The sequence below is a fragment of the Homo sapiens genome, chromosome 16, assembly GCF_000001405.40.
Source record: "Homo sapiens chromosome 16, GRCh38.p14 Primary Assembly".
NCBI classification, from domain to species: domain Eukaryota; kingdom Metazoa; phylum Chordata; class Mammalia; order Primates; family Hominidae; genus Homo; species Homo sapiens.
The window spans coordinates 30,569,486-30,596,259 of NC_000016.10; the positions used below are offsets into that span (position 1 = coordinate 30,569,486).

The 26,774-nt window shown below is 49.0% G+C and overlaps 2 protein-coding genes across 9 annotated transcripts, besides 6 other annotated features; both read right to left on the reverse strand.

Moving 5' to 3' along the window:
• Nucleotides 5-570: an enhancer, noted in NCBI's record as "H3K27ac-H3K4me1 hESC enhancer chr16:30580811-30581376 (GRCh37/hg19 assembly coordinates)". NCBI's record gives its function as "activates a minimal SCP1, AML or CMV promoter by ChIP-STARR-seq in primed H9 embryonic stem cells {active_cell/tissue: H9 hESC(primed)}" and the evidence as "EXISTENCE:reporter gene assay evidence [ECO:0000049][PMID:30033119]".
• ZNF688 (zinc finger protein 688) lies at nt 241-10,466 on the reverse strand. 6 transcript variants are annotated; one of them, XM_047433654.1, is made up of 4 exons: nt 10,310-10,466; nt 2,637-4,406; nt 1,525-1,638; nt 241-951 (listed from the first exon to the last, which is right to left on the reverse strand). In XM_047433654.1, the coding sequence occupies exons 2-4, from the start codon at nt 2,788-2,790 to the stop codon at nt 431-433; spliced, it is 789 nt and encodes a 262-aa protein (XP_047289610.1). In that variant the 5' UTR covers nt 2,791-4,406; nt 10,310-10,466; the 3' UTR covers nt 241-430. The 6 variants fall into 6 exon arrangements, with proteins under 6 accessions (XP_047289610.1, NP_001019854.1, NP_660314.1 ...); NM_001024683.2 differs by lacking the exon at nt 10,310-10,466 and having other exon boundaries at nt 2,637-2,922; NM_145271.4 differs by lacking the exons at nt 2,637-4,406; nt 10,310-10,466 and adding an exon at nt 1,949-2,229.
• Nucleotides 571-1,134: an enhancer, noted in NCBI's record as "H3K27ac-H3K4me1 hESC enhancer chr16:30581377-30581940 (GRCh37/hg19 assembly coordinates)". NCBI's record gives its function as "activates a minimal SCP1, AML or CMV promoter by ChIP-STARR-seq in primed H9 embryonic stem cells {active_cell/tissue: H9 hESC(primed)}" and the evidence as "EXISTENCE:reporter gene assay evidence [ECO:0000049][PMID:30033119]".
• Nucleotides 1,997-2,236: a silencer, noted in NCBI's record as "silent region_7379". NCBI's record gives its function as "represses an Ori minimal core promoter by ATAC-STARR-seq in GM12878 lymphoblastoid cells {active_cell/tissue: GM12878}" and the evidence as "EXISTENCE:reporter gene assay evidence [ECO:0000049][PMID:35858748]".
• Nucleotides 8,876-16,212, reverse strand: ZNF785 (zinc finger protein 785). Of its 3 annotated transcripts, none has more exons than XM_017022967.3 (4): nt 15,922-16,212; nt 15,637-15,765; nt 13,026-13,958; nt 8,876-10,362 (listed from the first exon to the last, which is right to left on the reverse strand). In XM_017022967.3, the coding sequence occupies exons 1-3, from the start codon at nt 16,124-16,126 to the stop codon at nt 13,075-13,077; spliced, it is 1,218 nt and encodes a 405-aa protein (XP_016878456.1). In that variant the 5' UTR covers nt 16,127-16,212; the 3' UTR covers nt 8,876-10,362; nt 13,026-13,074. The 3 variants fall into 3 exon arrangements, with proteins under 3 accessions (XP_016878456.1, XP_011544055.1, NP_689671.2); XM_011545753.3 differs by having other exon boundaries at nt 15,883-16,212; NM_152458.7 differs by lacking the exon at nt 8,876-10,362 and having other exon boundaries at nt 11,171-13,958.
• Nucleotides 15,410-16,010: an enhancer, noted in NCBI's record as "H3K27ac hESC enhancer chr16:30596216-30596816 (GRCh37/hg19 assembly coordinates)". NCBI's record gives its function as "activates a minimal SCP1, AML or CMV promoter by ChIP-STARR-seq in primed H9 embryonic stem cells {active_cell/tissue: H9 hESC(primed)}" and the evidence as "EXISTENCE:reporter gene assay evidence [ECO:0000049][PMID:30033119]".
• Nucleotides 16,017-16,146: a silencer, noted in NCBI's record as "silent region_7380". NCBI's record gives its function as "represses an Ori minimal core promoter by ATAC-STARR-seq in GM12878 lymphoblastoid cells {active_cell/tissue: GM12878}" and the evidence as "EXISTENCE:reporter gene assay evidence [ECO:0000049][PMID:35858748]".
• Nucleotides 16,612-17,212: an enhancer, noted in NCBI's record as "H3K27ac-H3K4me1 hESC enhancer chr16:30597418-30598018 (GRCh37/hg19 assembly coordinates)". NCBI's record gives its function as "activates a minimal SCP1, AML or CMV promoter by ChIP-STARR-seq in naive H9 embryonic stem cells {active_cell/tissue: H9 hESC(naive)}" and the evidence as "EXISTENCE:reporter gene assay evidence [ECO:0000049][PMID:30033119]".

Below are 26,774 nucleotides of genomic sequence, written 5' to 3' on the forward strand. Positions count from 1 at the left end.
CCCTGCTGATGACAATTAGCCAGGGTTTGACCACGCCCTCCATGTAGGTCCCCTCCCCAGGCCCTGGTCCCCCTCAGCATCTGCATCTGAAATAGATAAGGAGTGGCTAGTTCCTGAGATGATATAAAGGTCTCTGTTGCACCTGATCTTCAGATAACACTTTGAAATGAGTCCAGGGTCTCACTCTCTTCTTTTTTTTTTTTTTTTTTTTTTTTTTTGTTAAACAAAAGACTGGGGAGATGGGTGGCAAGTCTAATCTATTCGAATCTTTACAGGCACTTTTCTTTTTACAAGTTGGAAACTTGAGGGATCCTTGAGGAAAGCCCAGGGCATGAATTTCAGTTCCGGAGTCCCCGACTCAGTGGCCCACCTCAGGGATCCGTCAGTCCTTCGTGCCAAGGTCAGGCTCAACTCCAGCCTGCGGTGCCGCTCAGCCGCACTCCTCGAAGATGTCTGGGTAGTGCCGGAAGAGCACAGGCGGGTCCCGGTCACCTCGGACGGGGGCCCGAGGCACAGCCCGGATCCCAGGCCTCCGGCCCCGCCGCCCCCCGGAGCAGGAGCGGTGGATCCACTGGTGCGCTTCCACTGCGAACTTCCTCTTGAAGCGCATGCCACACTCGGGGCAGGGGAAAGGCCGCTCCCCCGAGTGCATGCGCCTGTGGCTGACCAGCAGTGAGGGGTAGGTGAAGCGGCGGCCGCAGTCCGTGCACACGTGGCGCCGCTGGCCGGCCTGAGCATCCATGCTGGGTATGGGTGCCGGGGGCTGTGCTCCTGTGGTCGGGTCCCAGGCAGCATTTTTGGGTGGCTGTGCCCGTGCCGGGGCCACGCTAATAGCTGGGTCAGGGTTGCGTTCCACCAGCACTTCAGGACTCTCCTTCACAGGAGCCTTTCTAGGCCCTTTGGCTCTTGGGACTTCCTCCGGTTCCTCTTCCTTCCTGTTTGGGACATCTCCTGGGAAACCGGAATTAAGTTACACTTACAAACACTTTTGCACAGACTGTCTCAGGTTATAGAATGCTTTTCACTTAAGGCAGTGAGGGAAGTTCTGTCCAGTGATTAACACACAGGCTTTAGAACAAGGTAAACAGGATTCAGATCTCCTAAAAGTGCCTTATCTGAGCCTTGGTTCCTTATGCATCAAATGGGAATAATAATGGCTTTTGACTTCACAGCGTTACTGGTTTAGCTGAGTAGATGCATGTTAAGCACTTAGGAAGTGCTCAGGAAGCAGGGGCTATTATTTATTTATTTATTTATTTATTTATTTATTTATTTATTTATTTTTGAGACGGAGTCTCACTCTGTCACCCAGGCTGGAGTGCCTGGTTGGACTGGGCTCCCAGTCCTCACAGGACCGCTGTCCCATGTTCTGAAAACTTTGTACCAGGTCTGCCTTCTTTACTCCTCTAGTACCCAACACAGTTGAATTTCTTTAGGGATGCTGGAAGTGGGGGCCTGAAAAGAAACTCTGCTAGACAGGAAGCCCTGGAAAACCAAGTGGGGGGACCCGGGACTATCCCTCACCTCTCCGAGCTCCTCCCAGTCTTTCCCCCTTCTCAGGATCCTGGGCGGCGGGGCTCCAAGCCTCACTCTCCTGTTCCATCCAAGAGATGAGGGCTGGTTTGGGGCCTGGGAATCCTGGGAGAGAACAGGGATCACAGCGCGGGCCTGAGAGGCCATCGTGGGAAGATGGCATTCCCCTCCAGGCTGAGGGCACCCCCTCGGAGCTTATACTCAACCTGGAAGGGGCTGCAGTGCTGCTGCCTGAATGAAATGGATGCGGGTGAAAACACTCCCGAGGGGGTACCTGAAGCCCTGGGAACGGGAGGTGGCTGCTGGTGTTGGTGCAAGAGTGCGGGATTAGGGCTCACAGTCCTCTCGGCCCTTCTACATCATCTCCCCTGTGAACCCGGTGAAGGAGGAGGGGGCTCGGACCCGGGGCTCTCACCGAGCGCGCCCAGGTGGCCGTAGGTCTCCTGCATCACGTCCCGGTACAGAGCCCTCTGCGCGGGCCGCAGACAGCCCCACTCCTCCGGGGAGAAGTACACGGCCACGTCCGCGAAGCTCACAGTCCCGGGCTTCCTGCAACCAGGCCGGGTCTCCCCGGGCCTCGGCGCCAGGAGCGGGGCTGGGGGCGGCGCCATGGGGCCTCGCAGCCCCGATCGGCGGCCGCCAGGTCCCTGGAGCCGCCGCCTCCCCGCTCCCGGCCTCAGCTGTCGTTGTCCACAGGAAGGGCGGCCCCGCCCAGCCGTGGCGTCCGAACGCAGCCGAGGCAACCGAAGTAGCAGGGACTGGCTGCTAGGGATTCGAGGATTCTGATAGGGACAAATATAATTCCTCAGTGTTTATTCACTTCATGGCCGCTTGGACATAGACACCCGGGTTAAGGGACCCGGAAGGTGCCTTCTGAAAATATGGCGACCACCCTTCAATTGTCACAGGCTGCTCTTAAGGGCGCCATTATTTGACCATATCAAATATGGAGCCTTTCTGACTTCTCTGGCCTCATCGTCCCACTTGCCCTTAAATAAAGCCGCTTCGGCTGCTTTTTCTAGTGGGGGAGGCGGGGTGTCTGGGAAGTAGAGGAGAGGCTTCTTGCCTTCAAGAAAGATGTAAGGGCCCGAAGCTTCACTTACCCCTCTGTACCCGCAATACGCAACGGCCGATGATTGGCGACGATCCCGGAAGAAGCTGCGCGGTGATTGGCCTGGGACTGGCGGGGCATTTGAAGGGACCCCGCGGTCCTGAAGCCTCTGTTGACAGACTGGAGCGCAGCGGAGACCTCGGCATCTGCGGTGCTCGGGATTGTGTCCCCTACGGTCTCTTACCGTGCCTCCCGATGGCGGGAGCTGGAATTTGGTCCCCAGACCCCTTGGGAAGACGCGCACACCCTGGCAAACCATGTGTACACCCGCGGTAGAAGCAGGTGCGTGTTTTACAGTAGCTTAGCTGCGGAGTCCACCCAGCCCCTGGCATCCGCAGCTCGGCTCGCTCAGGCTCTAGACCGAAGCTGCAGGCGAAGGAACGTGCTTGGTGAGGATGGAATCGGAATGGGGAAGTTTTAAATTAAATAGTAATTGTTGCTAACATACATGAATTTATTTTTTGTTTGTTTTGAGACAGGGTCTTGCTCTGTGGCCCAGCAGTGCGATCCTAGCTCACTGCAGACTCGACCTCCCGGGCTGAAGCGATCTTCTCACCTCAGCCTCCCGAGTAGCTGGGACCACAGGCGCACACCCAATGCTTGGCTAATTTTTAAATTTTAAAACAGAGACAGGGTCTTGCTATGTTGCCCAGGCTGGTCTGGAACTCCTGGCCTCAAGCAATTCTCCTGCCTCGGCCTCCCAAAGTGCTGTGATTACAGGCATGCGCCACGGTTCCCAGCCATTTCTACTTTTTCTTTGAGAAGGAGTTTTACTCTTGTTGCCCAGGCTGGAGTGCAATGGCGCTATCTCGGCTTGCCCAGGCTGGAGTGCAATGGCGCTATCTAGGCTCACCGCAACCTTCGCCTCCCAGGTTCAAGCGATTCTCCTGCCTCAGCCTCCCAAGTAGCTGGGATTACAGGCATGAGCCACCATGCCCGTCTAATTTTGTATTTTTAGTAGAGACGGGGTTTCTCCATATTAAGTCAGGCTGGTCTCGAACTCCCGACCTCAGGTGATCCTCCCGCCTCAGCCTCCCAAAGTGCTGGGATTACAGGCGTGAGCCACGGCGCCCGGCCCTGCCATTTCTACTTATTTACGTTGTTCCAAATTATCAAAGATAGCATCAACTTTCAAATCCTAATTTTTTTTTTCCTGGGAAACCTTCCTCCTTTAGCCTTCAGTCTCCTCTCTAAACTGGGTTGGGCCTCAGTTCTTCTCATACCGGGTCTCCCCTTCCTGCTGTCCTGGGTTGTATCTTCCGCTTCCTAGATTTAAGGTCTTTATTTTTCAGCCAAGATGGGTCATCCTCATGGCTGGTGGCATTGGACTGTAAATACTAGTTGCCTTCATCCCCACATTTGGAATATACCTGCAATCATACAGGATGCAGAATACTGTTTGCTAAGCGTGGGGCTGGTTGCTGGAGATAACAAGCAAGGCCTACCAGGTCCCTGCTGTCATTCTGGCTCTGGATCTACTTGCTTGGCTCCCCTGCCAGCCCTAGTATATCGAGCCTTCCTTTTTATTCAATAGTGTTTTTTATTGCTGACTTTTCAGTCAAGATTTCTTTGTGTTTTCTGGCCTACCCTTGCTGTTTTTCACCTGAAATGCTTTTTGGCTTTTAGTGTGACTCCTGCTGATCTCATATGCATATGTTATTAATTGATTAATTATTAATTGTTAATAATTAAATATTATTAATATGCTTACATTATTACCTTGAGTTCTGGAACTGCCTCACTGCACTCCATGTGGTGAATACTGTAGAAATTATATAAGGAAAAATATATCCTTAGAAATGAGTATTTTTTAAATTTTGAAAATATTTAATTTAGGCCCAGCCCAGTTGCTCACACCTGTAATCTCAGCACTTTGGGAGGCTGAGGTGGGCAGATTGCTTTAGGCCAGAAGTTAGAAACCAGCATGGGCAACATGCTGAAACTCCATCTCTACTAAAAATACAAAAATTGGCCAGGTCTGGTGGTGCACACCTGTAGTCCCAGCTACTCAGGAGGCTGAGGCACAAGAATTCCTTGAACCCAGGAAGCAGAGGTTGCAGTGAGCAAGATCATGCCACTGCACTTCAACCTGCGTGACAGAGTGAGACCCCGTCTCAAAAAGAAAAAAAAATTGGGCTGGGCACAGTGGCTTGTGCCTGTAATCCCAACACTTTGGGAGGCCAAGGCGGGAGGATCACCTGAGGTCAGGAGTTCGAGACCAGCCTGGCCAACATGGCAAAACCCCGTCTGTACTAAAAATACAAAAATTAGCTGGGTGTGGAGTCGGACGCCTGTAGTCCCAGCTACTCAGGAGGCTGAGGCACAAGAATGGCTTGAACTCAGGAGGCAGAGGTTGCAGTGAGCCAAGATCACACCATTGCACTCCAGCCTGTGTGACAGAGCAAGACTCCATCTAAAAAAAAAAAAAACAAACAAAACAAAAAATATATTGATACACAAAATTTTTACATATTTATGGAGTTCATGTGATATTTTGCTTTTCTTCATACATAGAATGTACAATAATCAAGTCAGGATATTTAAGGTATCAATCACTTTGAGTATTTAACATTTCTATGTGTTGGGAAAATTTCAAGTCCTCTCTTCTAGCTATGGAAATTTACAGTACTTTGTTAACTACAGTCACCCTACTCTGCTATTGAACATTACAAGTTATCCCTTCTTCCTAAGTGTATGTTTGTACCCATTACCCAACTTCTCTTCATCCACCTCTCCCACCCACGTACACCCTTCCAATCTCTGGTATCATTCTACTCTCTACCTCCATGAGATCAACTTTTCTAGCTCCCACATGTAAGTGAGGACATGTGATATTTGCCTTTCTGTGTCTGGCTTATTCACTTAACATAATGACCTCCAGTTCCATCCATGCTGTAAACATGATTTCATTTTTTATGGCTTAAGTCCACTGTGTATATATATCATATTTTCTTTATTCATTTGTCCCCTGATCAACACTTAGGTTGATTCCATATCTTTGCTATTGTAAACACGGCTCTACAGTAAACACGGAGATGCAGGTTATCTTTTTTATATACTGATTTCTTTTCCTTTGGATAAATTCCAGGTAGTGGGATTGCTGGATCACATGGTAGTTCTTTTTTTTTTTTTTTGAGACGGAGTTTTGCTTTTGTTGTCTAGGTTGGAGTGCAATGCCCTGGTCTCGGCTCATTGCAGCCTCTGCCTCCCAGGTTCAAGTGATTTTCCTGCCTCAGCCTCACAAGTAGCTGGGATTACAGGCACCCTCCATCACACCCAGCTAAATTTTGTATTTTTAGTAGAGAAGGGGTTTTGCCATGTTGGCTAGGCTATTGTGAACTTCTGACCTCTGGTGATCGACCAGCCTTGGCCTCCCAAAGTGCTGGGATTACAGGTGTGAGTCACCATGCCCAGCCCACATGGTAGTTCTGTTTTTGTTTTTTTCAGACATCTCCATATTGTTTTCAGTAGTGGCTGTACTAACTTACGTTCCCACCAACAGTGTGTAGGAGTTCCCTTCTCTTTTTTTTTCTTTTTTTTTTTGGAGAAGGAGTTTCACTCTTGTTGCCCAGGCTGGAGTGCAATGGCACAATCTTGGCTCACCACAACTTCTGCCACCAGGGTTCAAGCGATTCTCCTGCCTCAGCCTCCCAAGTAGCTGGGATTACAGGCGCGTGCCACCACTCCTGACTAATTTTGCATTTTTAGTAGAGATGAGGTTTCTCCATGTTGGTCAGGCTGATCTTGAACTCCCGACCTCAGGTGATCCACCCACCTCAGCCTCCCAAAATGCTGGGATTACAGGCGTGAGCCACTGCGCCCAGTCAAGAGTTGCCTTCTCTTAGCATCCTTGCCAATACCTGTCATGTTTTGTCTTCTTAATAACAGCCATTCTAACTAAGGTACGATAATATCTCATTGTGTGCTTTTTTGTTTTTGAGTCAGTCTCGCTCTGCAGCCTAGGCTGGAGTGCAGTGGCGCAACCTCAGCTCACTGCAACCTCCCCCTCCTGGGTTCAACCGATTCTCCTGCCTCAGCCTCCTGAGTAGCTGGGATTACATACGTGCACCACCATGCCCAGCTAATTTTTTTGTTTGTTTGAGATGGAGTCTCGCTCTGTTGCCCAGGCTGGAGTGCAGTGGCGCGATCTTGGCTCACTGCAAGCTCCGCTTCCCGGGCTAACGCCATTCTCCCGCCTCAGCCTCTGGAGTAGCTGGCACTACAGGTGCCCGCCACCACGCCGGCTAATTTTTTGTATTTTTAGAAGAGATGGGGTTTCATTGTGTTAGCCAGGATGATCTCGATCTCCTGACCTCATGATCCACCCACCTCGGCCTCCCAAAGTGCTGGGATTACAGGCGTGAGCCACCGCGCCCAGCCACCCAGCTAATTTTTGTATTTTTAGTAGAGATGGAGTTTCACCATGTTGGGAAGGCTGATCTCAAACTCCTGACCTCAGGTGATCCGCCCACCTCGGCCTCCTAAGCTGCTGGGATTATAGGCGTGAGCCACCAGGCCGGCTTCATTGTAGTTCTGATTTGCATTTCCCTGATGATTAGTGGTGTTGAGCATTTTTTCATGTACCTGTTGACCATCTGCATGTTTTATTTTGATTCTCCTTCTATTATGATTATTATTATTAATTATCATTATTATTGAGACAGGTTCTCACTCTGTCACACAGGCTGGAGTGCAGTGGTATGATCACAGCTCACTGCAGCCTCAACCTCCCTGGGTTCAGGTGATCCTCCCACCTCAGCCTTCAAGTCGTTGGAACTAGAAGTGTGCAACACCATGCCTGGCTAATTTTCGTTTTTGTAGAGATGGGGTCTCTCCATGATACCCAGGCTGGTCTGGAACTCCTGGGCTCAAGTGATCCTCCCACCTCAGCCTCCCAAAGTGCTAGGATTACAGGTGTGGACCACCATGCCCAGCCTATTATTGTCATTTTGAAACAGAGTCTCACTCTGTCACCCAGGTTGGGGTGCAGTGGCAAGATCAAAGCTCACTGCAGCCTGGAACTCTTGGGCTCAAGTGATCTATGCTCCCACTTCCACCTCCTGAGTAGCTAAGACTACAGGTGAGTGGCTATTTGGATTCTCCTTTTAAACAGAGTAGCAACTTGAACCAAAAATACTTTTGTTTCTTCAGATCCTATGTTGTAAATCACTTCTCTTTGAACTAAGTATGCAGAAGACTTAAGAAGATGAAGCTGAACAATAAAAATATTAACTAAACAGATTGAAAGAAACTTTTTTTTTTTTTTTTTTAGATGGAGTCTCGCTCTGTCGCCAGGCTGGAGTGCAGTAGTGGGATCTTGGCTCACTGCAACCTCCAACTCCCTGGTTCAAGCGATTCTCTTGCCTCAGCCTCCTGAGTAGCTGGGATTACAGGCACGCATCACCACACCCAGTTTTTGTATTTTTAGCAGAGACAGGGTTTCACCATGTTGGCCAGGATGCTCTTGATCTCCTGACCTCGTGATCCGCCTGCCTTGGCCTCCCAAAGTGCTGGAATTACAGACATGAGCCACTGCACACTGTACCCGGCCTGTGGTTTTTTTTTTTTTTTAAGACAGAGTCTCACTCTGTGGCCAAGGCTGGAGTGCAGTGGTACAATCTCGGCTCACTGCAACCTCTGCCTCCCGAGTTCAAGCAATTCTCGTGCCTCAGCCTCCCAAGTAGCTGAAAACAGCACAACCTGCTAATTTTTGTATTTTTAGTAGAGATGGGGTTTTGCCATGTTGGCCAGGCTGGTCTCAAACTCCTGGCTTCAAGTGATCCACCGTCCTCGGCCTCCCAAAGTGCTGGGATTACAGGTATGAGCCATAGCGCCAGGCCTGAAACAAACTTTCAAGTAAGACTAAAACTGTTCCGTGTAGCTGATGAGTTGTTTTTCCTGCCACTCATTATAAAAATACAAAAATTGGCCGGGCACAGTGGCTAACACCTGTAATCCTACCACTTTGGGAGGCTCAGATAGACAGATCACTTGAGCCCATGAGTTCAAGACCAGCCTGGGCAAAACCCCATCTGTACAAAAAATACAAAAATTAGCTGGGCATAGTGGCATATGCCTGTAGTCCCAGTTACTCAAGAGGCTGAGATGAGAACGAGAAACACCTGAGCCCAGGAGGTCGAGGCTGCAGTGAGCCGTGACTGTGCCACTGCATTCCAGCCTAGGCTATAGTGAGACCCTGTCTCAAGAAATAACAAGAACAACAAAATGCTCTTGCTTTCAAATTATTTTATTGCCCATCAAATTGTAAATGTTTCTTCAAGACTCTTGATCAGATAATTATGAGAAGTCACACAACATACAGGAGATGACTGGGCTTCAATCGACTTTACTTGTCAATAACAGAGTACAACTGAACTTTAAGTGGGAGCTGAATTTCTTTCTTTCTTTTTTGAAACAGAGTTCCACTCTTGTTGCCCAGGCTGGAGTGCAATGGCACGATCTTGGCTCACTGCAACCTCCGCCTCCTGGGGTCAAACGATTCTCCTGCCTCAGCCTCCCGAGTAGCTGTGATTACAGGCATGTGCCACCATGCCTGGCTAATTTTGTATTTCTTTTTTTTTAGTAGAGACAGGGTTTCTCCATGTTCGTCAGGCTGGTCTCAAACTCCTGACCTCAGGTGATCTGCCCACCTTGGCCTACCAAAGTGCTGGGATTACAGGTGTGAGCCACTGCGCCTGGCTCTTTTTTTTTTTTAATAGTGTCTTGCTGTTACTCAGACTGAAGTGGCGCCATCATAGCTCACTATAGCCTCAAACTCCTGGGCTCAAGCTATCCTCCTTCTTCACCCTCCCCCACCATGCTCGGCTAATTTTTAAAATTTTTAGTAGAAATGAGGTCTTGCTGTTTTCCAGGCTCGTCTCAAACTCCCAATCTCATGCAATCCTCCTGCCTCAGCCTCCCAAAGTGCTGGGATTACAGGTGTGAGCCACTGTACCCAGCTGAGAGCTTAAGTTTCTTGCATAAAACTCAGCTGTATGCTGAAGTGTTTAGAAGTGAAATGTAATGATGTCTGCAACTTACTTTGAAATACATTAATAAAATGGATAAATGAATGGATAGAGGGATGGATAGGCAGATTGACATGTGTAAAACAAATAGAGAAAAATGTTATTTGTAGAATCTAGGTGATGCTAAAGGCCACACAGCCAGTGGGGACTGAGCCAAGCTAGGAATCCAGGTCCACCAATTCAGGAGAGGCTATGTGGTGAAGTAAAGATAACACCCCGTTCCCAGTTTTTGTATCTGTTTTTGTTTTGAGACAGAGTCCTGCTTTGTAGCCCAGGCTGGAGTGCAATGGAGCCATCTCAGCTTACTGCAACCTCTGTCTCCCAGGCTCAAGTGATCCTCTTGCCTTAGCCTCCTGAGTAGCTGGGACTACAGGCATGTGCCACCACGCCTGGCTAATTTTTTGGTAGAGATGGGGTTTCACTATATTGCCCAGCTGGTCTCAAACTCCTGACCTCAAGTGATTAACCAGCCTCAGCCTCCCACAGTGCTGGGATCACAGGTGTGAGCCACCGTGCCCGGCACCAGTTCCCATTAATTATCTTGGAACCCAAGGATTCAAAGAAGCAGTCTTTTCAAAGAGATATTTGAGTCACTGACCACCAGTCCTGGAATGCAGAAATGCTTAGTCCCACCTACCTCTTTTGTTCATTCCTTCAAAAGTTTCCTCTTCAAAAGTAGGGCTAGCAGATCTAAATGGGCCAGAAAGAACTCTCTTAACTGTTGTTTTTTGTTTTGTTTTGTTTTTTGAGACTGGAGTCTCACTTTGTCGCCCAGGCTGGAGTGCAGTGGCGCGATCTCAGCTCACTGCAAGCTCCGCCTCCCGGGTTCATGCCATTCTCCTGCCTCAGCCTCCCCAGTAGCTGGGACTACAGACGCCCGCCACCATGCCCGGATAATTTTTTGTATTTTTAGTAGAGATGGGGTTTCACTGTGTGAGCCAGGATGGTCTTGATCTCCTGACCTCGTGATCCACCCACCTCAGCCTCCCAAAGTGCTGGGATTACAGGCGTGAGCCACCACACCAGGCCTTTTTTTTTTTTTTTTTTTGAGATAGAGTCTTGCTCTGTTGCCCAGGCTGGAGTGCAGTGGCGCTATGTTGGCTCACTGCAACCTCCACCTCCTGGGTTCAAGCCATTCTTCTGCCTCAGCCTCCCAAGAAGCTGGGATTACAGGTGCACGCCACCAGGCCTGGCTAATTTTTTTTTTTTTTTTTTGAGACGGAGTCTCGCTCTGTCACCCAGGCTGGAGTGCAGTGGCGCAGTCTCGGCTCACTGCAAGCTCCGCCTCCCGGGTTCACGCCATTCTCCTGCCTCAGCCTCCCAAGTAGCTGGGACTACAGGCACCTGCCACCACTCCTGGCTAATTTTTTTGTATTTTTAGTACAGACGGGGTTTCACCATGTTAGCCAGGATGGTCTCGATCTTCTGACCTCGTGATCTGCCCGCCTCGGCTTCCCAAAGTGCTGGGATTACAGGTGTGAGCCAACGTGCCTGGCCGTTTTTTTTTTTTTTTTTGGTATTTTTAGTAGAGATGGGGTTTCACCATATTGGCCAGGCTGGTCTTGAACTCTTGACCTTAAGTGATCCACCCTCCTCAGCCTCCCAAACTGCTAGGATTACAGGCGTGAGCCACCGCGCCTGGCCTTCATAACTGTTGACATACAAGCATTACAGTAAAAATTAGACTGGAAAGACTATGCCTTGATTTCAACTTTAATCACAATTAATTTATTCTTTCTTTAAAAAAAAAATGTAATCCCAGAACTTTGGGAGGCCAAGTCGGGTGGATCACCTGAGGTCAGGAATTGGAGACCAGCCTGGCCAACATGGTGAAACCTGTCTCTAGTAAAAATGCAATTAGCCAGGCATGGTCGTGGGTGCCTGTAATCCCAGCTACTCAAGAGGCTGGGGCAGGAGAATCGCTTGAACCTAGGAGGCGGAGGTTGCAGTGAGCCAAGATCATGCCATTGCACTCTAGCCTGGGCAACAAGAGCGAAACTCCATCTCAAAAAAAAAAAGAGGCTGGGTGCAGTGGCTCACGCCTGTAATCCCAGCACTTTGGGAGGCCGAGGCGGGAGGATCACGAAGTCAGGAGATCGAGACCATCCTGGCTAACACGGTGAAACCCCCGTCTCTACTAAAAATACAAAATATTAGTTGGGCGTGGTGGCGGGTGCTTGTAATTCCAGCTACTCGGGAGACTGAAGCAGGAGAATGGTGTGAACCCAGGAGGTGGAGCTTGCAGTGAGCGTAGCTTGGGCCACTGCACTCCAGCCCAGGCAATAGAGACAGACTCTGTCTCAAAAAAAAAAAAAAAAAAAAGAATCCTCCGGCATTATATCTCCAGCTACTGTGGCCCAAGAATATATCTTTATCAAAAAATACAAAATCCAGGGAACATGCAAATATCTGAAGAAGAAAAAAACACTGCAATCACTAATGCATACAGTGAAGAGTTGGCCCAGTTCCAGAGTCCGCTATGTTTGATAGTTTGTGCACTTGCAGAATGAGAGTGGGGGGGGAGTTCCCCACCTGAGGCCACTGTCCTCTCTATGGCCACCTCTAGGTCTTCAAGACCAAGGAACACCTACACTCCAGGTGTCTCCTTGCCAGATGTTTCACCTGCATTGGTAAAAGGCAGAATCCTCGGCAGGGGTCGGTGGCTCACGCTTGTAATCCCAGCACTTTGAGACGCCGAGGCGGGTGGATCACGAGGTCAGGAATTCAAGACCAGCCTGGCCAAGATGGTGGAACCCCGTCTCTACTAACAGCACAAAAATTAGCTGGGCCTGGTGGCGCATGCCTGTAATCCCAGCTAATGGGAAGGCTGAGGCAGAGAATGGCTTGAACCCAGGAGGCAGAGGTTGCAGTGAGCCGAGATCACGCCACTGCACTCCAGCCTGGGCGACAGAGCATGACTCCATCTCAAAAAAAAGAAAAGAATCCTGGGATGAGCTCCGCCCCCCCCACCAGCCGAGGGACAGGCCTGAGGTATCCCCTCTATTCTGGGGGGTCCAGAGTGGGTGCAGGCTCCTTTAATAGGCACTGGAATGTAGGGGACCCCATCTCAGAGGAGTAGGAGAGATACAGGCCAAAAAGCAGAGAGCTACAAGGGAGAGAACAATCATGAAGGAAAAGCCAGTTAGGTGAATGGTTTTCAGTGAAGGATGGGACGTGAACACGGGGCCCTGTGTGCTGGAGCTTCAGAAAATGGGGTCAACCCCCAGGCACCTTTTCAGATTCCTGCCTCCTCCCCACAGCCCTCTGTGCCCCTACCTCTGCTTTTTACCTAAGGCAGAACTTTGTTTTCCTCAAACGCCCACTTCCTTTCCTTATCCCCCAAATACACAAACCTTGCCTCTTCCTCTCCAGGGAAACGCTGACCAGTTTGTGTGAACGCCATCACCCACACTCTTGAAATATATCTGGAAAGTGCCGGAAGTGAACTGGGGGATCCTTGCCTCCCAAAACAGGGATGGGCTCTGAACGCCCCACCACGGCCTGCTGCCACGCGCGCCTCTCGCTGCAGGAGCGGTGGATCCACCGATGGGCTTCCAGGGCGGTCTTGCGCTTGAAGCCTTTCCCACACTCCACGCAGGGGAAGGGCCGGCTGTCGGAGTGAATGCGCCGGTGACTGAGGAGGAGGGAAGAATAGGTGAAGCGGCGGCCGCAGTCAGGACAGGGGTAGGGCTTCTCGCCGGTGTGTATGCGCCTGTGGATGGCCAGCAGGGAGGTGTAGGCGAAACGGAGGCTGCAATCGGGGCAGCTGTAGGGCTTCTCGCCCGTGTGCTTGCGCTGGTGGATGGCCAGCAGGTAGGGGTAAGTGAAGCGACTCTTGCAGTCTGAGCACGCGTAAGGCTTCTCCCCGGTGTGAGCCCGCCTGTGGATAGCCAGGGAACCCCTCTGGCGGAAGCGGCGCCCGCAGTCGGGGCAGGGGTAGGGCTTCTCGCCGGTGTGGATGAACTGATGCTGGAGCAGGTACCTGCGCTGGGAGAAACGCGCCTGACACTGGCCGCAGGAGAAGGGCCGCTCCCCGGAGTGGACCCGCTGGTGGCTGGCCAGGAGGGAAGGGTAGCTGAAGTTGCGGCCACAGTCTGGGCAAGAGTGGGGCAGTCTTCGGGTCAGAGTGTCCTTGAGCCAGGGATTCATGGGGCTCTGCCTAGGGTTGCAGAACTCTGGGCAGGCGACGCTGGGCCACCACTCCTTGACAGCCACTTCATGCGCCACCTCTTTTTGTTTTGGACACTTCTTCAGCCTTTCCTTCTCCTCATTCCCATCCCTGGATCCTGAAACAGGGAAGATGATAAAATCAGAAACTCATCCCTGGATCCTGAGACAGGAAAGATGATAAAGTCAAAACCAGCATATTCCGGGACCATGTCCTGCCTTGGAAGGCAGCAGGAATGGTTCAGAATATGGCGCCCAGGGAGCACGGCTTAATGATAGGGGCCTCATGAAGCCCTGAAAGCCAGCCTGGAGTAAAAGCAAATGCCATGGTCTGCAGGTTAACACAAGAAGGCCCTGAGCACTGGAGATAATGAAAGAGGAGTCGGGCCGGGTGCCATGGCTCACACCTGTTATCCAAGCACTTCAGGAGGCTGAGGTGGGAGGATCGCTTGAGGCCAGAAATTCAAGGGACAGTGAGCTGTGATCGGGCCACTGCACTCCAGCCTGGGCAACTCTCTAATAAAAAAAAAAAAAAATGCTGGGCGTGGTGGCCCATGCCTGTAATCCCAGCACCACTCTGGGAGGCTGGGGTGGGCAGATCACCTGAGGTCAGGAGTTCGAGACCTGCCTGGCCAACATGGGGAAACCTTGTCTGTACTAAATTACAAAAATTAGCCAGGCGAGGTGGTGGGCGCCTGTAATCCCAGCTACTTGGGAGGCTGAGGCAGGAGAATCCCTGGAACTGGGGAGGTGGAGGTTGCAGTGAGCCAACCTCGTGCCACTGCACTCCAGCATGGGCGACACAGCAAGACTCAGTCTCAAAAAAATAAAAAAAGAAAAAGGAGTGAACAATATTGAACGCTTAACTCTGTGTCAGGCTTTGAGGACACAGTGATGGTCCCAGTCCTCATGGCACTTACCATCCTGAACCTGTTTATGATCCCTTTACAAAACAGCCATTCAATGACCTTCTTTGGTACCAGCTCAAATTCTTTTGGCACCTTTCCTCTCTGCTCTTACCATCACCAAAAAGTCTACACTTGCTGGTGGGGCACAGTGACTTACGCCTGTAATCCCAGCACTTTGGGAGGCAGAGGCAGGTGGATCACGAGATCAGGAGTTCAAGACCAGCCTGGCCAAGATGGTGAAAGCCCGTCTCTACTAAAAATACAAAAATTAGCTGGGCATGATGGCGGGTACCTGTAATCCCAGCTACTCAGGAGGCTGAGGCAGGAGAATTGCTTGAGCCTGGGAGGCGGAGGTTGCAGTGAGCCTAGACCATGCCACTGTACTCCAGCCTGGGCAACAGAGCGAGACTGTCTCAAAAAATAAGTCTACACTTGGACTGCCTCACTAGGTTCCACGGGAAGACCTTCTGGGAACAAGCATTTATTCTGGTATCAGGGCTGCAGGAAAAACATTTCTCTTCATTTAAAAATCTAATTAATGGTGTTATTTACTACACGTGGTTCACATCATTAATATCCAAGAGGAACATCTGTCTTCATTTTATCCCACAACAAAAATCAAATTACAGGTTTCCCCTTTCCCTTGACCTCCTAGGAAGCTCAAGCTCTATTTTGCATTAAACTGAGGTTTTCCAGTATGGTTAATCGGTTCCATAGATCCCAATTTCGCTGTTCCATCGGGCCATTTTGCAGTGAGATGAGGACGTTTCTGGGGTAGGGTGCAGGGAGACAGGATGGGACTTTGGAGGGGGCAGCCTGCGCTGAGGATGTGAGTGAGTTGGGGGCGGGGGTTGGGGCTTCTCCACGGCTACTTATCCAAATGAAGTACCTGCTTCCTGTCCTTGGCCCCTGCTGAAAGCTGCAGAGCTCTCACCGTCGGGATCCTGGGCCTCCGGGCTCCACGCCTCCACTTCTCCTTCCACCCACGAGATAAAAGCGGGTTTGGGAACTGAAAATCCTGCGAAGGAGAAACAATGGGCTCGGCTGAGCGCACGGGAGGGGAGAATGAGACTGCTCCCTCGGCGCCCCGCTTCCAGCCCACTAGCCTCTGGGGACACCGATCACCGCTTCCCACCGACGGACTGGGGGTCCCGGCCGGAGGGCCCGGCCTCACCCAGCGCGCCCAGGTGGCCGAAGGTCTCCCGCATCACGTCCCGGTACAGGGCCCTCTGCGCTGGCCGCAGGCATTCCCACTCCTCGGGAGAGAAGTACACGGCCACGTCCGCGAAGCTCACGGCGCCCGGCCTGCTTTCCCTCGTCCTCCGGGGCCCGGCCTCCCCGGGTACGTGGGCCGGGCGCGGCGCCAGGGGCGGCCCCATGGGAAACCCTTTCTGCCTGGCAAAGGGAGGCTTCCGGGGAAGGTGGAGATGCTGGCGCTTTCCTGTCTTTCCTCAGACAAGTCCGTAAGGGACTCCTGCCCTTAACCAAGATGGAACCTTCCTGGCGTCAACACCCCTCGCCTTTCCTCTCTGCCTTTACACACCACGAGGGAAACCAGCGGGAAGGGTGGCCCCGCAACACCACTAACCGATAGATGGCGTACGTTGATTGGACAGTGCCGGAAGGCCAGGAGAAGAAGGAAGGCTGTGATTGGGCTTTTTTTTGGAGTGGCCTGTTTGAAAGGCTGAGGGTGAAGGAGCGACAGATCTGAAAATAGCCGGAGCTGAGGGGCCTCAGGGTCTACCCTGACTCGCTTTTCCCGGACGGTCTCCTAGGAGAGAGGCTGTGGCCAGCTGACGCGACTTCCTTCTGCTACTGAGGTGAGAAGTCTTAGGGCAGATGCGGATGTCCAGGGCTTCGAGGTGAGTAAAGGTGAAGCGCAAAGCCTTAGGCGGCGTGCACTGAGTGGGTAAGGGACTGCAGATCCCAGCTTTGAGCTCTGAGTACTCCTGGCAGTGCCAGCCCGAGGGGCAGCGGGAACAGGATCCTACCCAGGATCTAATTTGACCTTTGCCCCGAGGTCACAGATGTCTTCCCTTATAGAGATGCAGAAGGCCAGGCGCAGAGCCCGGATTCAAAGTCAGCTCCTAGCCGGGCGCGATGGAGCGCGCCGGTGGTCCCAGCTCCTCGAGGGGCTGAGGCAGGAAGATCGCCTGAACTCGGGAGGTGGAGGCTGCTGTGAGTCGAGATCGCGCCCCCACACTCCAGGCTGGCGACAGAGCCAGGCGCCCATCTCTAAAAACAAACAAAAGTCATCTTCTCGCTTCCGGGTTCGGTTAAGGACTTAGGGTAGGGCCCTGCACAAAGTACTATTATAATAGATATGAATTTATAGTGTTGTAGTTTTTTTTTTTTTTTTTTTTTTTTGAGATGGAGTCTTGCTCTGTCGCCCAGGCTGGAGTGCAGTGGCGCGATCTCGGCTCACTGCAAGCTCCGCCTCCCGGGTTCACGCCATTCTCCTGCCTCAGCCTCCCGAGTAGCTGGGACTACAGGCGCCCGCCACCATGCCCGCCTAATTTTTTGTATTTTTAGTAGAGACAGGGCTTCACCGTGTTAGCCAGGATGGTCTCGATCTCCTGACCTCGTGATCCGCCCGCCTCGGCCTCCCAAAGTGCTGGGATTACAGGCGTGAGCCACCGTGCCCGGATGTGTTGTAGTAATGTTTAATACCATCTGAGTCTTGTCTCAATCAGAAAACGTGCTCAAATTACAGCTGATATGTGAGTAATAAAACTGGGAAACGAATCAGATAATCTCTTAAGACCGTTTTTCAGCCCTTTCCAACCGAGTATTCATAGAAACAGAAGAGGAACGTTCTAGATGTATAACAAAAAGCTGCCCATCCCCACAGTGAAACCACTTTGAAGACATCACTTTAAAATTCATGTGAATTCGGCCGGGTGTGGAGGCTCACACCTGTAATCCCAGCACTTTGGGAGGCTGAGGTGTGTGGATCACTTAAAGTCAGGAGTTTGAGACCAGGCAACATGGTGAAACCCCATCTCTACTAAAACAGAAAAATTAGCCAGGTGTGGTAGTGCACCCCTGTAATTCCAGCTACTTGGGGGGCTGAGGCATGAGAATCACTTGAACCCGAGAGACGGAGCTTGCAGTGAGCCGCAGTCGCGCCACTGCACTCCATACTGGGTGACAGAGTGAGACTCCGTCTCAGAAAAGAAAAAAAAAAATGTGAATTCAGTTGGGTGTAGTGGCTCAGGCCTCAGGCCTGTAATCCCAGCACTTTGGGAGGTCAAGGTGGGAGGATCACGAGGCCAGGAGTTCGAGACCAGACTAAACAACATAGCAAGACCTCATCTCTAAAAAAATAAATAAATAAAAAACAAAAACTTGTGTGAATTTGCATTCTATTTTATAATATAACCAAATGATCTCGGCCTTCACACCATCTTCTTGGAAACCTCTGCACCATGAGAGCCTAGTGGAGGAAGCGAATGCGCAGGCTGAAGCGCAAAAGAAGAAAGATGAGGCAGAGGTCCAAGTAAACCACAAGCTTATGCACCCATGGAGGCTACAGGAGCAGAAACATGGAATCCAGAGGCTGGGGATGCTGGTACAGTTATTGGGCTGCATGCTACTGTCTAGAGCTTGTTTCAGTGCATCTAGAACTTCATCTCCATCTGGTCGCCAAGACCACCTCTGAGACTCACCTTGCTCATAACCAAAACTGCATGTTGGTCCTTTGCTCCGGACCTGTGATATTCTGGACTATTTCTGTGTTCACTGGTGGCCGAGTGTAACAACCATATAATAAATCACCTCTTCTGCTGTCTTAGCTGAATATATATAACCAAATTCAAAAGAATATATAGTCAAAAGCAAGTTTATCAAGTGTTATCCTCTTTTACACTACTGGTGGAGTGTGAATTGGTGCAGCCGCTTTTGAAAACTGGCAGTACCTACTAAAGCTGAATAGATGTCATACCCTATGACCCAGTGATTCCACTTGTAGGTGTATACCCAACAGATATGCATACATATGTTTACTCAAAGGCATTTACTCAAATGTTCTCCACACTTCTTATAATAGGTAAAAACTAGACCAGATGCGGTGGCTCATGCCTGTAATCCCGGCACTTCGGGAGGCCGAGGTCAGCGGATCACCTGAGGTCAGGAATTTGAAACTAGCCTGGCCAACATGGCAAAACCCCATCTAAAAACACAAAAATTATCTGGGCGAGGTGGCAGGCGCCTGTAGGCCCGGCTACTCGGGAGGCTGAGACAGGAGAATCACTTGAACCCAGGAGGTGGAGGTTGCAGTGAGCCAAGATCACACCACTGCACTCTAGCCTGGGTGACAGAGCAAGACTCCATCTCAAAAAAAAAAAAAAAAAAAAAAAGATTCCGTTTCTATAGTTTTTCTTTTTAAAAGACTCTGCATGTAGGCTAGGCTGGTGGCTGAGGCCTGTAATATCAGTACTTTGGGAGGCTGAGGCTGGATGATCACTTGAGCTTAAGAATTTGAGACCAGCCTGGGCAATATAGTGAGACACCATCTCTACAAAAGCAATTTTTTTTAATAAGCCAGGCATGGTGGTGTGCACTTGTGGTCCCAGCTACTCAGGAGGCTGAGATGGGAGAACTGCTTGAGCCCAGAGGTCAAGGGTGCAATAAGCCATTATCATCATGCCACTGCACTCCAGCCTGGGCAACAGAGCAAGACCCTATCTCTAAAATTAAAAAACATATGTATAAAAACAGACAAAATGTGGCCGGGCACGGTGGCTTATGCCTGTAATCCCAGAACTTTGGGAGGCCAAGGGGAGTGGATCATGAGGTCAGGGATTCAGGACCAGCCTGGCCAAGATGGTGAAACCCCATCTCTAGTAAAAATACAAAAAATTAGCGGGGTATGATGGCGGGCGCCTGTAATCCCAGCTACTCAGGCAGCTGAGGCAGAGAATTGCTTGAACCCAGGAGGTAGAGGTTGCAGTGAGCCAAGATCGCGCCACTGCACTCCAGCCTGAGCTAGACTCCATCTCAAAAACAAAACAAAACAAAACAACAACAACAAAAAAACAGCAAACTTAATCCATGCTATCAAAAATCAGAGCCAGGTACGATAATAGATGCTTCTAGGATGCTGATAATATTCTCTTTTTTTCTTTTTTTTTTTTAGATGGAATCTCCCTGTGTCACCCAGACTGGAGTGCAGCAGTGCAATCTCAGGTCACTGCAACCTCCACCTCCTGGGTTCAGGAGATTCTCGTGCCTCAGCCTCTGGAGTACCTGGGATTACAGGCAGGTGCCACCATGCCTGGCTAAGTTTTTTGTATTTTTGGTAGAGACGGGGTCTCACATGTTGCCCAGGCTGGTCTCGAACTCCTGGCCTCCTCTGATCCACTGGCCTTGGCCTCCCAAAATTCTGGGATTACAGGCATGAGAATTGCTTGAGCCTGGGAGGCAGAGGTTGCAGTGAGCCGAGATTGTGCCACTGCACTCCAGCCTGGGTAACAGAGTGAGACTCTGTCTCAAAAAAAAAAAAAGTTCACACTCCAGTGATTTGCATATCATAGTAAAAAGTAATCTCTTGGGTCTCATTTTTCATTGTGTTTAGCGCAGTACCATAAACCTTAAATAACACCATAGGACCCATACAAAGTGCCACTAGTGATGCTGGAAGTGCTCCCAAGAAGCAAAGAAAAGTCATGACATTTCAAGAAAAAGTTGAATTGCTTGGTATGTACCATAGATTGAGGTCTGCAGCTGCAGTTGCCCACCATTTCCAGATAAATTGATCCAGTATAAGAACCACTGTAGTGGCCTGTAGTCCCAGCTACTCGGGAGGCTGAGGCAGGAGAATGGCGTGAACCCGGGAGGCGGAGCTTGCAGTGAGCCGAGATGGCGCCACTGCACTCCAGCCTGGGCCACAGAGCGAGACTCTGTCTCAAAAAAAAAAAAAAAAAAAAAAAAAACCACTGTAGCTGGGCGCGGTGGCTCACGCCTGTAATCCCAGCACTTTGGGAGGCCGAGGCTGGTGGATCACCTGAGGTTTTCCAGTATGGTTCATCGGTTCCATAGATCCCCTGTAATTCCAGTTACTGGAGAGGGTGAGGCAGGGGAATCGCTTGAACTCAGGAGGCAGAGGCTGCGGTGAGCCGAGATGGCGCCATGGGACTGGGCAACAAAAGTGAAACTCCATCTAAGAAAAAAAAAAAAAGGCACAAAGGACATTTAGTAGTAAGGAAGAGAAGCAAGCACCAGGATTTACAACAGGAAGGGATAAGCTAACTCCACTGTTTTGTGCAGATGCAGTCAGGTTTATTATCAGTACGTCCCTTATCTATAAAGGTGCTTATCCTTGAGCCTTGAAGGGAAAAGAGAAATACTAGCTTGCAGTCTTCTGGGTGTACAACAAAAAAGGCCTGAACAACAATAATCTTTTTCTGGATGGGGTACATCTGTGCTTTGTCCCTGAAGTCAGGAAGTACCTGGCCGGTAAAGGCCTGCCTTTCTCCATTGGCCTTTACCATCTTATTTTATTTTTATTTATTTTGTTTGTTTACTTATTTATTTATTTTTGAGATGGAGTCTCACTCTGTCACTAGGCTGGAGTGCAGTGGTGCAATCTCAGCTCACTGCAACCTCCACCTCCCGGGTTCAAGCGATTCTCCTGCCTCAGCCTCCCGAGTACCTGGGATTAGAGACATGCACCACCAGGCCCAGCTAATTTTGTGCTTTTAGTAGAGACAGGGTTTCAGCATGTTGGCCACGATAGTCTCGATCTCTTGACCTCGTGATACACCCGCCTCAGCCTCCCAAAGTGCTGAGATTACAGGCGTGAGCCACCGCACCAGGCCTTTACTTATTTATTTATTTATTTATTTATTTATTTATTTATTTATTTGAGATGGAGTCTCACTCTGTTGCCCAGGCTGGAGTGCAGTGGCACAATCTCAGCTCACTGCAACCTCTGCCTCTGGGGGTTCAAGCAATTCTCCTGCCTCAGTCTCCCGAGTAGCTGGGACTCAAGCACACACCACCATGCCCAGCTAATTTTTGTGTTTTTATTCGAGACGAGGTTTCACCATATTGGCCAGGCTGGTCTCGAACTCCTGAGCTCGTGATACGCCCGCTTCGGCCTCCCAAAATGCTGGGATTACAGGTGTGAACCGCTGCACCCAGCCCACCATCTCATTTTATTAAAGGGAAATTAAAGCACAAGGAAATACAGACCATGACTGACAGGTTAGAGCCACTAGATTTCTGTCTGCAGCCACAGATCTTCCTTCCCAGGCATCCACTGCCTGCAGCTAGAGAGTCTAGTCTGTGTTCCTCACAACACCATTATCAGATGGGGTCCCTCAGATGGTGAGATGCACAAGCCACTGGCATGTCACTTAGACTCTGCCCAATTTGGACAAATTTTATCAAACTCTGGTTGTGTTTCATTTGCTGGTTCATTATAAGGATATTACAAAGGATATAGATGAAGAGATGTAGTGGGTGAGATATGGGGGAAAGGGAGCAGAGATTCCATGCCCTCCCTAGGTATGCATGCTACCCCTCTAGGAACCTCCACATGTTCACCTATCTGGAAGCTTTTATTTTTTTTTTTTGAGACGGAGTTTCGCTCTTGTTGCGAGGCTGGAGTGCAATGGCATAATCTCGGCTCACTGTAACCTCCACCTCCTGGGTTCAAGCAATTCTTCGGCCTCAGCCTCCCGTGTAGCTAGGATTACAGGCGCACGCCACCATGCCTAGCTAATTTTTGTACTTTTAGTATAGACAGGATTTCACCATGTTGGCCAGGCTGGTCTTGAACTCCTGACCTCAGGTGTGCCACCCTCCTTGGCCTCCCAAACTGCTAGGATTACAGGCGTGAGCCACCGTGCCCGGCCGGGACTGCCTTTTAAAGTTATTTTGATATTGGACAATGCCCCTGGCCACCCAGAACCCCATGAATTCAACACCTTTGGTGGTGAAGTGGCCTACTTACCCCCAAACACAACACTTCCAATTCAGCCTATAGATCAAGTTGTCATAAAGATCTTTAAGGCTCATTACACATGGTACTCTATGGAAAGGATGGTCAACCCTATGGAAGAGAACCCCATCATGAAAGTCTGGAAGGATTACACCACTGAAGACACCATCGTTGTTATAGAAAAAGCTGTGAAAGCCATCAAACCTGAAACAGATTCCTACAGGAGAAAACTGTATCCAATAGTGCGACTACTAGAGAAAACTATGCCCAGATACTAGGTGTTACTTCATAGGAAATTATGACAAGAGCCAATCAAGGAAATCACGAAAGAGACTGTGAATATGGCAAAAAAAAAAAAAAAAAAAAAAAAAAAAAAAATTTAGGGGGTGAAGGATTTCAAGACATGGATTTTGGAGAAACTGAAGAGCTAATAGACACCATACCAGAGGAATTAGAATACAACTTGGTAGAGATGAGTGCTTCTGAACCAGTGCCAGATGATAAGGAAGATGGAAAGGGGCAGTGCCAGAAAACAAATTGACATTAGACAATCTGGCAGGAGGGTTTCCGTCATTTAAGACTGCTTTTGACTTCTTTTATGACTTAGACCCTTCTAAGATATGGGCACTGAAACTAAAGCAAACAGTAGAAGAAGGATTGGTACTGTATAGAAATATGTCTAGAGAAATGAAAAAGCAAAAAAAGTCATTTTTTGATGTACTTATGATGTATTATGAAATTATGATGTATTTCCAGAAATTATGATGTATTTCCATAAAGTTGCACCAGTGTGCCTGCCTCTTCTGCTCCCCCTTCGCCCTTCTCCACCTCTTCTGCCTCTGCCACCCTTGAAACAGCAAGACCAACCCTTCCTCCTCTTCTTCCTCAGACTGCTCAACATGAAGATGATGATGATGAAGAGTTTTATGATGATCCACTTCCACTTAATGAATAGTAAATATATTTTCTCTTCCTTATGATTTTCTTAATAACATTTTCTTTTCTCTAGCTTACTTTATGATAAGAATACACTACATAAGCCAGGCGTGGTGGCATGCGCCTGTAGTCCCGGCTACTCAGGAGGCTGAGGCAGGAAGATCACTTGAGCTGAGGAGTTTCGGGCTGCAGTTGAGCTATGATCACGTCACTGCACTCCAACCTTCGTGACAGAGCAAGACCCATCTCTAAATTAAAAAAAGAAAAAAGGTGGGGGGAGAGAGTACAGTATATGATATATATGACATACAAAATATGTTTTTGTTTTTTTCTTTTTGAGACAGGGTCTGGCTCTGTCACCCAGGCTGGAGTGCAGTGGCTACCATCCTGGCAACCTCTGCCTCCTGAGCTCAAGCCATCCTCCTACATTAGCCTCCCAAGTAGCTGGGAATACAGGTACATGCCACCATGCTTGGCTAATTTTTTAATTTTTTGTAGAAGCGGGGTTTCACCTTGTTGTCCAGGCTGGTCTCGAACTCCTGAGCTCAAGCAGTCCTCTCGCCTCAGCCTCCCAAAGTGCTGGGATTACAGGCGTAAGCCCAAAAAAGTATATATGTATTTAAATATTTACTATCTGATTTTTTTTTTTTAGGACAAGGTCTGGCTCTGTCACCCAGGCTGGAGTGCAGTGGTGAGATCTCGGCTCACTGCAACCTCCACCTCCCAAGCTCAAGCAATCCTCCTGGCTCAGCCTCAGCTGGGATTACAGGCATGCGCCATGGCACCCAACCCCAAAACATGTTTTAATTGACTATTTATGTTATTGGTAAGGCTTCCAGTCAACAGTAGTTAAGTTTTGGGGAGTCAAAAGTTAGTGGAGGCCGGGTATGGTGGCTAATGCCTGTAATCCTAGCACTTTGGGAGGCCGAGGTGGATGGATCACCTGAGGTCAGGAGTTCGAGACCAGCCTGGCCGGTATGGTAAAACCCTGTCTCTACTAAAAATACAAAAATTAGCCAGGCTTGGTGGCACATGCCTGTAATCCCAGCTACTCGGCAGGCTGAGGCACAGGAATTGCCTGAACGCAGGTGTAAGAGATTGCAGTCAGCCGAGATTGTGCCACTTCACTCCAGCCAGGGCCAAACAGCAAAACTCCATCTCAAAAAAAAAAAAAAAAAAAGGCAGAATAGATGTTACTAGAGGCTAGAAAGGGAAGGGTAGGGGCAAGGGTGGGATAGGGAAAAATTTGTTAATGGACATAAAATTATTAGCTATATTGGAGGAATAAGTTCTAGTGTTTTATAGCACCGTAGGATGACTATAGTTAACAATAATATACTATATATTTTCAAATAGCTAGAAGAGAAGATATTGAATGTTCCTAACACAAAGAAATAATAAATGTTTTAAATGATGGGTATGTTAATTGCCCCGATTTGATCACTACACATCATATGTATAGAAACATCACCACATACCCCATATTTATGTATAGTTATTATGTATGAATTAAGAAGAATAATGGACCCCAAAGATTTCACATCCTAATCTGCAAAACCTTTGATTGTGTTACCTTATATTAGCAAATAGGACTTCGCAGATGTGATTAAACTAAGGATTTTGAGTTAGGAACACTAACCTGTTGAGTCTAATGTAATCACAATGGTCCTTATAAAAGGGAGGCAAGAGGGTAAAAGTCTGAGAAGGATATGTGACAACAAAAGCAGAGGTGGAGTGATGCAGTTGCTGGAGAGGGGCCACTAGCCAAGGAATGCAGGCAGCCTCTAGAAGCTGGAAAAGGCAAGAAACAGATTCTCCCTAGAGCCTCTAGAAAAGGAATGCAGCCCTGCCAACACCTTGATTGTCCCATAAGACCTATTTTCAGACTTTAGACCTGAAGAACTATAAGACGATAAATTTGTGTTGTTTTCAGCCACCAGTTTCTAGTAATTTCTTACAGTAACAAATGAACACAGATAACATTGTTGAGGAGCATTTCTGAGTTTGTCAACTACTCTATTGATGTGGGAGCACTCTCCCAGCTCTGAACTCAAGAAAGTCTAAAAAGAAGTAGGACTCAGAGACATTATGCTGAATAAAAGAAGCTTTAGACAAAAAAAAAAAAAAAAAAAAATACACACTGTATGATTCCAATTATATGAAGTTTTATAACAGGGAACACTAATTAGAATAGTAGTTGTCTCTGGTGGGGTGGGAATGGGAATTGACTAGGAAGGGGCATAAGGCAACTTTCTTTCTTTTCTTTTCTTTTTTTTTTTTTGAGACAGAATCTCACTCTGTCGCCAGGCTGGAGTACAGCGGCAGAATCTCAGCTCACTGCAATCTTTGACTCCCTGGTTCAAGCGCTTCTCCTGCCTGAGCCTCCCTAGTAGCTGGGATTATGGGCACATGCCACCATGCCCAGCTAATTTTTGTATTTTTAGTAGAGACGGGGTTTCACCATATTGGCCAGGATGGTCTCGAACTCCTGACCTCGTGATCTGCCTGCCTCAGCCTCCCAAACTACTGGGATTACAGGCATGAGCCACTGTACCCAGCCACATGAGGCAACTTTCTAGGATGATGGTAATGTTATGTATTTGGATAGGGGTTTCAGTTACAGATGTATACGTCTTTGTCAACACTCAGCAAATATACACTTAAAGTTTGTGCATTTTATGTACTTTTAACTCAAAAAATATATAAAACAAACGTGGAGCTCTAGTTAATGATATGCATGTTGAAATGTTTACGGGTGAAGTGTACTGATTTCAGCAATTTTTTTTACATGCACCCAAAAACAAAGTGTACTGGTAGAGTAACTGATAGTTACATGATAAAGCAGATACACTAAATGTTAGTGATAGAATCTAGGTGGTGAGTATATGGGTATTCTCTGTAAAAGTCCTTCAACTTTACTGTGTCTTTCAAAACTTTTAAAATGAATGGTGGCTGGGTGCAGTGGCTCACACCTGTACTCCTAGCACTTTGGGAGTCTGAGGCAGGTGGATCGCCTAAGGTCAGGAGTTTGAGACCAGCCTGGCCAACATTGTGAAACTCCATCTCTACTAAAAATACAAAAATTAGCTGGGCATGGTAGCTCATGCCTGTAATCCCAGCTACTCTGGGAGGCTGAGGCCCGAGAA

Excerpts from the sequence above, each read along its gene's own strand:
- ZNF785 (XM_011545753.3), bottom strand. The coding sequence starts at position 16,126 with ATGGGGCCGCCCCTGGCGCCGCGCCCGGCCCACGTACCCGGGGAGGCC. Across the intron at positions 15,766-15,882 it reads CCGGGACCCCCAGTCCGTCG|GATTTTCAGTTCCCAAACCC; the intron begins GTGGGAAGCGGT and ends TCTCCTTCGCAG. Across the intron at positions 13,959-15,636 it reads GGGCCAAGGACAGGAAGCAG|GATCCAGGGATGGGAATGAG; the intron begins GTACTTCATTTG and ends TCCCTGTTTCAG.
- ZNF688 (NM_145271.4), bottom strand. The coding sequence starts at position 2,144 with ATGGCGCCGCCCCCAGCCCCGCTCCTGGCGCCGAGGCCCGGGGAGACC. Across the intron at positions 1,639-1,948 it reads CGGCCACCTGGGCGCGCTCG|GATTCCCAGGCCCCAAACCA; the intron begins GTGAGAGCCCCG and ends GTTCTCTCCCAG. Across the intron at positions 952-1,524 it reads ACTGGGAGGAGCTCGGAGAG|GAGATGTCCCAAACAGGAAG; the intron begins GTGAGGGATAGT and ends CCGGTTTCCCAG.